Source organism: Homo sapiens, chromosome 1 (assembly GCF_000001405.40).
Source record: "Homo sapiens chromosome 1, GRCh38.p14 Primary Assembly".
Taxonomy (NCBI): Eukaryota; Metazoa; Chordata; class Mammalia; order Primates; family Hominidae; genus Homo; species Homo sapiens.
In genome coordinates, this window is record NC_000001.11 from 190,029,941 (window position 1) to 190,041,746 (window position 11,806).

At 33.5% G+C, this 11,806-nt stretch overlaps 1 annotated feature.

Moving 5' to 3' along the window:
* Positions 6,846–7,046: a silencer, noted in NCBI's record as "peak555 fragment used in MPRA reporter construct". NCBI's record gives its function as "represses an SCP1 promoter by STARR-seq MPRAs in K562 erythroleukemia cells {active_cell/tissue: K562}" and the evidence as "EXISTENCE:reporter gene assay evidence [ECO:0000049][PMID:32103011]".

The following is an 11,806-nucleotide window of genomic DNA, read 5'->3' on the forward strand; positions in this document are numbered from 1 at the left end:
GTTGTAGTACCTTTAAATGCATCCAGTGGAATCTAAAAGTCATCGTGATTTCACACCCTTCTCATCACTCCTTATTTTCATTGGACTCAAATTCCTAATTATATTACCATCAGAAAATTGTGGCAATATACTTCTTATCCCTTATTAATTTCATATTATATGTTGTGTAATATTGTATAATTTAAATTTAATTATTTTTTTATTGTACATAAGAATCTTACATTTTTCTTTTTTAAATTTTATTTTTCCACAAGTTATTGGGGTACAGGTGGTATTTGGTTACATGAGTAAGTTCTTTGGTGGTGTTTGTGAAATTTTGGTGCACCCACACCCAAGCAGTATACACTGCACCATATTTGTAGTCTTTTATCCCTCGCCATCCTCCCAGTCTCGTCCCCAAGTCCCCAAAGTCCATTGTATCATTCTTATGCTTTTGTGTCCTCAAAGCTTAGCTCCCACATATCAGTGAGAACATACCATATTTGATTTTCCATTCCTGAGTTACTTCACTTAGAATAATTGTCACTAATCTCACCCAGGTCGATGCAAATGCCATAAATTCATTCCTTTTTATGGCTACATAGTATTCCATAGTGTGTGTGTGTGTGTGTGTGTGTATCTTTATCCACTAGTTGATTGATAGGCATTTGGGTTGGTTCCATGATTTTGCAATTGTGAATTGTGCTGCTATACACATGAGTGTGCAAGTATCTTTTTCATGTAATGGCTTATTTTCTTCTGGGTAGATACCCAGTAGTGGGATTGCTAGATCAAATGGTAGTTCTACTTTTAGTACTTTAAGGAATTTCTACACTGTTTTCCATAGTGGCTGTAGTAGTTTACATTCCCACCAGCAGTGTAGAAGTGTTCCATGTTCACTTCATCTACGCTAATACCTACTGTTTCTTGATTTTTTGATTATGGCCATTCTTGCAGGAGTAGGATAGTATCACCATGTGGTTTTGATTTGCATTTCCTTGATCATTAGTGATGTTGAGCATTTTTTCATATGTTTGTTGGCTATTTGTATACTTTCTTTTGAGAACTGTTTATTCATGTCCTTAGCTCACTTTTGGATGGGATTGTTTGTTTCTTTCTTACTGATTTGTTTGAGTTAGTTGTAGATTCTCGATATTGGTCCTTTGTCAGATGTGTAGATTGTGAAGATTTTCTACCACTCTTTGGGTTGTCTGTTTACTCTGCTGACTGTTCCTTTTGCCATGCAAAGCTCTTTAGTTTATTTAGGTCTCAGCCATTTATCTTTGTTTTTATTGCATTTGCTTTTGGGTTCTTTGTCGAAATACTTGCCTAAGCCAATGTCTACTTTGAGTTATCTTAAAATTATTATTGATATGCCATCAATCAAAATCATAAATAGCTTATAAAATGTAGATAAATCATTATTTAACAGAAAGTATAATGTTACTTAAAATGTATCCTTTAATGAGATAGCTACTTTTGCTCCCAATGTATCTATTAATGAATATTACATATTGACAGAATAAATAGAGTTTCAGCAACAATTTTTTGTCACCTTTTAAGTGGAATCATGCAGTATTTATTCTTCTGTGACTGGCTTATTTTACTAAGAATAATGTTCTCAAGGTTCATCCATGTCATTGCAAATAGCAGGATTTCCCCCTTTTTAAAGGCTGACTAAACATATAAATGTATGTATATACGATATCATACCTATTAATTCATCTGTCAATGAGCATTAGGTTATGTCAATTAATTGGTTATTGTGAATAGTGCTGCAATGACAGGTAAGTGCAGATATCTTTTTGAATACTGATTTAAATTTTTGTAGATATATATCCAGAAGTGGTACCATAAGATCATATGGTAGTTCTATTTTTGATTTTTTGAGGAATTTCCATACTGTTTTTCTTAGGGCATGCATTATTTTATATTCTCAACAATGGTGATATACAAAGGTTCCCTTTTCTTCACAGCCTTGCCAAGACTTTTTATCTTTTGTTTTTTTGACAACAGTCATACTAAGTGATGCAAGGCAATATCTCATGGTTTTGATTTGCATTTCCCTGGGTATGAGCAATGTTGAACATTTTTTTCATACACCTGTTGGCCATTTGAATGTCTTTGAAATCTCTACTGAAGCTTATTTTTAAATCAGATTACTTGTTCTTTCTTTATTTATTTTGAGATGGTAGGAGTTCCTTATTAGATCTACAGTGGCTTGCGAATATTTTCTCCCACTTCGTAGGTCTCTTTTTATTCTGTTTATTGTTTCTTTTGTATGCAGAAACTTTTTATTTATTTCATTTGTCCATTTTTACTTCTGTTACCTGTGCTTTTGGGGTCATATTTTTAAAAATTGGCTGGTCATAGTGGCTCATGTCTGTAATCTCAGCCCTTTGGGAGGCCAAGGTGGACAGACCACTTGAGGTCAGGAGTTCAAGTCCAGCCTGACCAACATGGTGAAACCCCCTCTCTATTAAAAATATAAAAATTAGCCGGATGTGGTGGCTGGCACCTGTAATCCCAGCTACTTGAGAGGCTGAGACAGGACAATTGCTTGAACCCAGGAGGCAGAGGTTGCAGTGAGCTGAGATCATGCCACTCCACTCCAGCCTGGGTGACAGAGTGAGACCCCATCTGAAAAAAAAAAAAAAAAAATCTTTGTCCAGACGAATGTCACGGAGCATTTCCTCTGTTTTTTATTATAGTGGTTTGATAGTTTCAGGTATTAGATTTAAGTTTTTAATCCATTTTGAGTTGATATTTTAAGCATATTTTAAAATAAAAATTCAATTTCATTATTTCCACATAATTATTCACCTTTTTCAACACCATTTATTGAAGACATTATTTTTTTCCCCATTGTGTAATCTTGGTACCCTTGTAAAAGATTAGTTGACTGTGTATTATGCTGATATAATTCTGGCTCACCCTGTTTCATTGGTCTATGCCTATTTCTTTATGCTAGTACCATACTGTGTACATTTTTATTACTGTAGCTTTGAAATATTTTCAAATAGGAAAGTAGATGTCTCAGATTTCTTCTTCTAACTCTGTATTTCTCAGCTTTCAGGTTTTGTGTGTTTTTTCTCAATTATTTCTGCTGCTCTGTGGTAGAGATTGTTTGTTTGTTTGTTTGTTTTGGAAACAGAGTCTCTTTCTGTCGCCCAGGCTGGAGTGCAAAGGCGCAATCTCAGCTCACTGAAACCTCCACCTCCCAGGTTCAAGTGATTCTCCTGCCTCAGCCTCCTGAATAGCTGGGATTACAGACGGGCTTGGTAGAGATTTTAATGTATTGTTGTGACTCATGTTTTTCAGGTCTATTGTAAGCAAAACAAATAAAATTAAGAGAGTTCATTTTTCTTGTTGAAAATAAGGAAAGAAATTTTCCTTCTTTCATTTTTCTTAAAATATTTACTTTAAAAAACTTCTAAGTATGTTCTGTCTTTGAAACATGTATATTTCCTTTTGAAAGTTAGCTAGGCTTTCTATCACTTTATGACCCAGAAATTTCTTTCTCAAGGACTTGAAGACCATCTCTTTTAAATGTAAACAATAAAGTAGATAATACCTCTATTTCCCAGTTTTTATGGAAAAGCAGAACCCTAACTTTGGTGACTGATTTGCTCCAGTTTGCAAAACGACCTCCTGTTTAAAGATATGAAAAGACACTTTCTCCTTTGGATAAAGCCAATTAGCTAAGACAAGTGGCCCTCCCAATTACCATACATTAGGATGAGCTATGTGTGATGAAAGGTTCTGTCAAGTCCTCTTATTTGAGAACCAGTTAATATTTATGTTTATTCAATAATGAGAATGTTGTCTTTCTCTACTACCTTGGTGGAGAGAATCTCTTGGTTAGAAGAAGATTTTGTTTTTATTTATACTTTCCTATCATCCTGCTATGTATCCTATCTATTGTCATAGTTTTAATGTGTTTATGTTTGTGCATATATATGTGTGTGTTATATATCAGTTAATATATTCATCAATATTTCCACTTGGTTCTTTTTATTATTCTTGTTGTATGTTGCTAATATTTTGATTCACATTTTTTAAAAAACAACCTAATTGTTAGTTATTTTTCTTCCTCTTCACATAACTTTCCTCAGTGGAGAATTATTCCGTATGTTATTTAGTATGTTATATTTTTTAAGTATGTATGCTTTTTACATGTTTAGTTTTGGCATGTGAGTTTGTGTTCTCCTTGTGGAATCAGTTAATTTAGTAACAATGATAGTCCTATAACAGGCTCTTATCCATAAATTTAAAGAGAAGTAGGGAATTAGCTTCAAGGTGGCAGGTTCCTGGTGTAATTCACCCGGAGAGGAAAGGGATAAGTGAAAATTCAAGAAGTAAAAGCTCTGGCCAGTGGAAGCATTTTAACATCAGCTTTTTACTTCACTAAAGCTTTCGTACCACCTTGATATCCGGTGAACATCAATATCAACTGTTGTTGCTGATTTCTGCAGCAAAAGGGAGGCAATCATTGTTCTAAAACAATGTGGGGAGTAAAAGCAAGATCTGATGCTTAAAACTCTTCGTCCAACATCGAGCGTTCTTCTTGATGCTCTCTGGTCTAGACCTACAGCCACATCTCCCATACTCACCCATCCTCCAGCATTTCTGTATCCTGTATTGTCTTCACTAGTTTCTTGAATCTCTTTTCTTTTCTTGCCTCTATAATATCTTCAGGTTTGATTTGGAGTGAGAAAATCTGCTTTCCATGCTATATATCTCCTCCTGACATTAACTGGAAGTCTCATTTTCTGAAATTTCTAATATAATTTTGACACAGCCTTTTTTTTTTTTAATACCCACTGAGAAAGAAATCCTGAGATGTGGCAAACATAGCAGATGACTGGAATATACTAAGTAATGTTGGCCGGGTGCAGTAGCTCATACGTGTAATCCCAGCTCTTAGGGAGGCAGAGGCGGGAGGATAGCTTGAGCCCAGGAGTTTGAGAACTGCCTGGGCAATATAGTGAGACCCTGTTTTCCACAAAAAGAAAAAAAAAAAGCCAAAAATCTCAACCAACCAACCAACCAAACAAACAAATTTCCTAAGTAATGTCTACATTAAAGGAGGCAGGGCTGTTTAGAAAGGAACAAAGATATTTGCAAGACAGAATATTAGCATCAGGTGAACAGGACAGAAGTAGAGAAATTCCACTGAATGGGAAGGTTAAGTAAATATATACGAAAATGCTAATATTCTTTATTTACATTTAACATGTTGGTTAAAATGTTCAACTTTTATATACAATAAATAGAAATATGAGTTAAAATTCACAATTTACAAGTTTGATAATTCTCTGCTGTTACTAATAGTTATGAGATTTTGTAATGCCGTTATCCAGGAAACTCTATTTTCAAAGTATAATTTATCTTTAACTTTGATTGAAAGAATATACATCTTTAAAACCAATGCTTTTGTTGCCATTTTGGTGGTACATATCTAAGCTGGTGCATACATATTTCGAAGCAGGTATACTTTAATGATAAATAAAATATAAACATGGTGCAAATAGTTATGTTATTGAGCAAAGCATTCAACCAATGGTAAATGTATTATTATTGCATTTCTAAACTCTTTTTTTTTTCATTTGTATAGCAGATTGCAGGGACAAAGCTATGCTAAATGTACTAACATTGCGTTTCTGCACTCATTTTTTTGTTATTCACATAGCAGATTGCATGGAGAAAATTATTGATATTTTATACTATGGCAAAATTTGAATGCTCATCTACTGATCTACTTGGTAAATTATTTCTGAAGATTGAAAATATTTGCATAGTTTTTCTGATGAATATTCCAAAAATTAAGGTTTAATAATAATGCTTAATTGACTAACAGAATTACAACTCTAAAATAATTGTAGAAATTGTGTTTTCTCGGCCATCTGCTCTCTTTACATTACCACAGTTAGGCATCTTCCTGTCTGCACCTCACACTCCACACAGCATTTAGGGCATGCACTGCATCTAAATTATCACCTAATTAGAGAATTAGCCTGAGGTTACATAGTATGAATCAAATGCTTCTCCCTTTGAAGATACTGCTGCCCCAGGAATTGAAAGCATAGATCCAATGGCATGTCATTTGTTTTTGGCAATGATTCCAGAGAAAGCTATATTGCCTTTGAGTCAATTAAAATAGCAGTAAATCTTTCAACTTCAAAAGATGCATCAGGTTGAATTTATTAAAGAGACAGTTTGGGGTTTAAAAATTTACACGCAGTATAAACAATCACACTATCATTACGAAGAAATCTGTTATACAACAGTGACCAACCACACAAATTTTAGTTTCTGTAATCTTTGTGTATCTAGGGACACTTGTATCTGAAGTGGTTTACATGTAAGTTTTTTACGATTTTAATTTTATTTTGTCATTTCTACAGTTAATTTTTAAAATTTGCCTTTAAAATAATTGATTTTTAAAAATTCTTAGGGCACCCTTGAACTTCCTTTCTTAAAACACATTGATATTCACAACTGCCTGTACCAAAGCAAATGTATGCTATATAAACGAGGTCAGGAGATTGAGACCATCCTGGTTAACACGGTGAAAACCTGTCTCTACTAAAAACACAAAAAAATTATCCAGGCATGGTGGTGGGCGGCTGTAGTCCCAGCTACTTGGGAGGCTGAGGCAGGAGAATGGCCTGAACCCGGAAGATGGAGCTTGCAGTGAGCCAAGATTGCGCCACTGTACTCCAGCCTGGGCGACAGAGCAAGACTCTGTCTCAAAAAAAACAAAAAAAACAAAAAACGAAAAAACAAAAAAACAAAAAAGAATATCCCAAATAGTAACTTACATCTTAATAACTTCAGTTTAATATGTCTCATAACATGTTGTACTAACCCATAGTAAAAATCTCTTTATGGAAATCTCAAGTTGTGTTAGTTGCTTGACTTGTCTCTGAGTCTATCTGGGTTAACTTATAGTTTAACTTTAGCTTTCTGGCTTTTTGCATGTGGCTTCATGGGAAGAATATTCATGGTTTTTGCCCTTATAAAGGAAGAACTAAGAACCTCAGGTAGAGTTGAGTAACCTTAAGTAGTCTGCCTACTTTGTGAACTGTTTTGTGACCTGTGAGGGTCTCACTGAGGATCAGCAACACTGTCAATCATTAAGACAATTTTAAACATTTTACTAAATATTTTAAAATATATTTATCTCATTTTTCTGGAAGTTCCGAAAGATAAGCTGTTATATATAAAAATGGTTCAGCAATTCATGAATGCTCACAGAACTTTTATTTTCTTAAGCAAGCATTATAAATTTTGTCTGACCTACTCTTCTGTAGGCATTCCTTCTGAGATTTAATGGATGTTTGAATATAATCTCTCTTTTGTGGTTTCAAAGACAAGCTAGAGTTAGAAAATTTAGGAATAGGCTGGGAACTTGAAAAAAATTTCCCCAGGGATTTAACAACAATGTTACATTCAAATAATGATCTGTTTAGAAATACTATATGTTAAGTTTTTAATGTCTATGCTTATTAATATTATCCTGAATGTATACTCATGGTTTTTGGAGCAAAGCATATTTTCATTCACTTAAAGCCAATAACCTTGCCGGTTAAAGCAATAACCATGCCAGTTCCCCAAGTCCCAATATGCCCTTCTAGGGCAACACTGTGAGAGTAAGTTAGGAGGTCATTCACAGGCACCAGAGTGGCAAGAAGTACGGAAGCCCCAACTATATGAATCTAGGAGATCGTGTAGCAGTGGGTCAGTTGTCACATATTCCCTTTCAGAAATATACAGAGAAACATTTTGCTTCCTAATAAATGTTTCTCTTGAGAACTAAAGGGAAAAGATCCTGGATTACTTCCCTTTGGAATGTAAATGTATGTTTTTAGGGGGAAGATTAAACTAATGTCCCAAACTTTAAAACCCCCAGAATATCTGTATGGTCTTGTGTCTCATCCTCCTTGAAATGTAAACGCATACCTCTAGAGAAGTAAAACTTGATCTGGAGTTCTTTTTCTAGTCAGCATAATTTTACTTCCAAGGCTGTCTTTTAGTCTAGGTTCTAAGTTTCAGTAAAATTTTCACAGAAAGTCCTAACTGTGCAGAAAGATAAGAATACTTTTTCTAGTCTCACACTATACCTTTAGCTAATATAAATAGTACAATAGTACTGAAGAGAAAATACGTTGTCATATTGTTCACAAAAGTGGCAAAAATTTGACAGAAGCAAATGGAAAACTCTTGATAAAAATATATCAAGTAAAACACATCCTTAAATTACTTATAAAATCAAATGCATACCCATTCCAGAGAGTTGCACTAATAAAAGATAATGTAATCTTTTATTTGATTGTTTCATTCCTAGAATAAAGTATTATTCTTCTAACTTTTAGGCAATTGATAAAATTATTTTCATAATTATTTAAAATATTTTATTTTTGGAAGACAATATTAAAGAGACATATAATCTCATATTACTTAGTCTGGTTTATAAATGTTTTAGTACATTTGGTAATAGATAAAACATCTTGTTGTTTAAGAAGAGAATATCCTACAACAAAAAATGAAGCCGTGAGGAATATTGTTCTTTGAAGAGTCTAAGAAGTAGCTAAAGGTCACAACACGTATATCCTTGCATTGCAAAGCAGTCTCTATATGAACAGAAGATTGACATTCCTCACCAAAGAAGAGGTCTTTGAAAAATAAATTTTCAAAAGTTTAAAAATGGAAAATATCAGTTGAAAAATAAATTTCAAAAACTAAAAAAAAGTGAAATAGACAAAAAATACTCAGTTTGCATAACTTCAATATAATTTTTGTGTTTGTATCTAACATTATCCTAATAATTCAAATATATTGTCATACTCAGACATTTCATGAGATGCTTTTTTTGTATAATATCCAACCTTGAGGCAATGAAGCTATCACAGTGGTATAAAAGAAAACAAATTGCATTTTTATTCTTCCTCAAAAAGTGTTAGAATAAATTTCATAAGGAGAGAATCATTTTTAAAACATTTCTTATGTAGGCTAGTAAAGAACTTGTATACAAATGTACAAGGGGGAAAAACGAATCTTACACAAGATTGTTTATGATAGAAGCCAAATTTCAAATAGCATTATGTAATTGCATTTCTATTGTAGCTAGTATTGATTTATAGTCTTATTTTGGTAGAATAAAAAATTATACTAATGGGAAGATACAAATCAACATGATATTCTGTAAATAAGAGAGATAAAATACACCAGGGAGGATGATAGACACAGCTAAGTAGAAACAACTGTCTTTTCTTTTGACAATAATTTAGAAAGTAATTGATTAATTCTAACCAAGTGTGTGTTTGTGACGACCCCAGTCGAGACATCTTGCTCTTGCTGAATGTATGAATTTTGGTATTCGTGTATTTTTGTCAGAGTTGCATATTAACATACTGAAAAGTCAGCTTCTCAATCTCTTGTATATAATATTGCTGTAAATGTTAGTAAGCTAACTTGATTGCCTTTTTATGTTTTTAATAGGTTAGCTTGAATAGCTTCATAATGTCAATAGTCATTTAGAAAATGATGTTACTTGGAGAGAATGGTGATCTCCCTTTCCCTACTGGCAACTACAGGCCAGACTTCCACAGCCAAGGTGATGAGGAGCTATGAGGCAATTAAACAATAAATGTGAAGTCAGCCTCCTCATTTTTACTCAGAATTGGACTAATTCCACCAAACAGATTGGACAAACACCTACTAACGCCAAAACTTGAGGCAATTATTCTAAAGAAAAGAGGATGTTCTAATAATCTGTACATGTACTTTAGACCACAGGCCAGAGGGAGAATTATCCAACAGCTTATGTGATGATACGTCCCTCTTTGGTTTGTAGTATATATGTAATTGCCTCAGTTGTTCCCTCACTTCATTTGTTCACCAAAAAAAAATATACTTTGCTCAGATTGGTGATATAAATCCAAGTTAAATATCAAATGCTCCACAAAATAAACCAGTGTGCTATAGGTAGGTAATATAAACCCAAAATCATCACAAGATTTTCTACACTTAGCTAATAATCTATCCTTACTCTCATCTTTGCCTGCAAGAAATACTACTCTGTTTTCAAATGTTGTAACCTCTGTACAATCTCCAAGACATTTTAATTTTACCCTGTCTTTTATCTGACAGAGTTACCTGCATATTTTCTTATATATCGTCACCTTATATTTTCAGAAAAATAATTGTACTTCAATAGAAATCTCTATGCATGCTCTGTAGCATGCTCCAGGTTACCTGAATCTGATTTTATGGAAACTATTTTATAAGTCCGTAAGTCATAGACCCCCACTGCATACCTGAAACCACAGATAGCACTAAACCCTATACAGGTCTTTCTCAATTTGCTATGGGGTTACACCCTGATAAGTGCATCATAAATTGAAAATATTTTTAAGTCAACAATGCATTTAATAACTCGATAAACTTCTCATAATGTAAAAAAAAAAGTAGGTCAAACCATTGTAAGTCAGAGACCATCTGTATATACTATGTTTTCTCAATCTAATAATCAAGGCTCCCAAGTGACTAAGTTGAAGGTAGCATATGAAGTATGGATATCCTGGATAAAGAGTTGATTAATGTCCAGGGCCAGAGGAAGCAGGACAGCACAAGATTTTATCTTGCTAATCAGAATGGCAGAAAATATCTCTTCTCTGTAGACAGAAGACAAGGTGGCAATTCTAAAGAAAAGAGGGTGTTCTAATAATCTTTACATGTACTTTAGACCACACAAGGAGGTAATATATCATTATGTGCTTTTGGCTTCTCAGATATTCTATTAATTATAACATTACAATAACATCCAAGTATATTTGATTAATATATAAAACTTTATTCAATAACTGTGGCAATATTTGCTTAGGAGAGTCAGGAACAAATGACTCTTGATTTCAATGTACTGATAGCATTTTAGACATTATTATCACATATCTGGAGTAATAATTATTCTCCATGCTATTTTTCCTTAGCTGCCCATATTTCTGAATTTTCCTAACTCTGATTCCCTATAATATAAAGCGTTTCTCTAGAATGTTGCACAAGGATGTTTGTGAAATACTACCTTTAGGAATAACAAATGCCCATTCTCTCTTTCTTTCTATTTAATGGACTCTGTTCTGCCCCCGGGATACTGCTAAACGTAGGAGCAGGCAAATTGCTTCTTCTTCCTTTGGCTCAAATATTTTGGAAAAATGGAGAACCCTACAGAGCTCAATGGAAAAGTACCCATAGAACTGTGCAATTTTCTCATTTTTAGTTTTCTTTTTTTTAATGGATGTTTCAAGACTAAGATTTGTTGTGGACTTAAGTTTAAGGAGAAAGAATTTCAAAGAAAGTCAAAACACATGTGAAATGATAAATGTGATGTTTGTATCTTGTTAGTGAGCTCCTTGAAAGTGCTTGCTGCTTTGAGGTAGAGTAAAGAATATTGGGTAAATAATAATTCCTGCAGAGTGAAAGTTGTTCATAGAGAGAAATCTTGCAGAGATGCTTAGAAAATCTACATCACAAGAAATCCTTTTCAGCAGAAGAGTCTTCCTCTGAACTTGCACATAGGTCAGAAAGACTTAAAATGCTTCTTTATTGATAATGGCAGAAGTTTAAATAAGTTTCAGGTGATGTCTATACAAATCTATAAATTGAATCATAATTCAAAGCTCCAATTTGATCTAGTAATCCTACTTAGAGAACAGACAACACTTCTGATGTGATAAATTAAAATAGAATACAAAGTTGACACAGTTTTCTGGTGAAATACTGGATTTTTCTCAATGTGTTATTATGTATACACAGGTAAAAACAA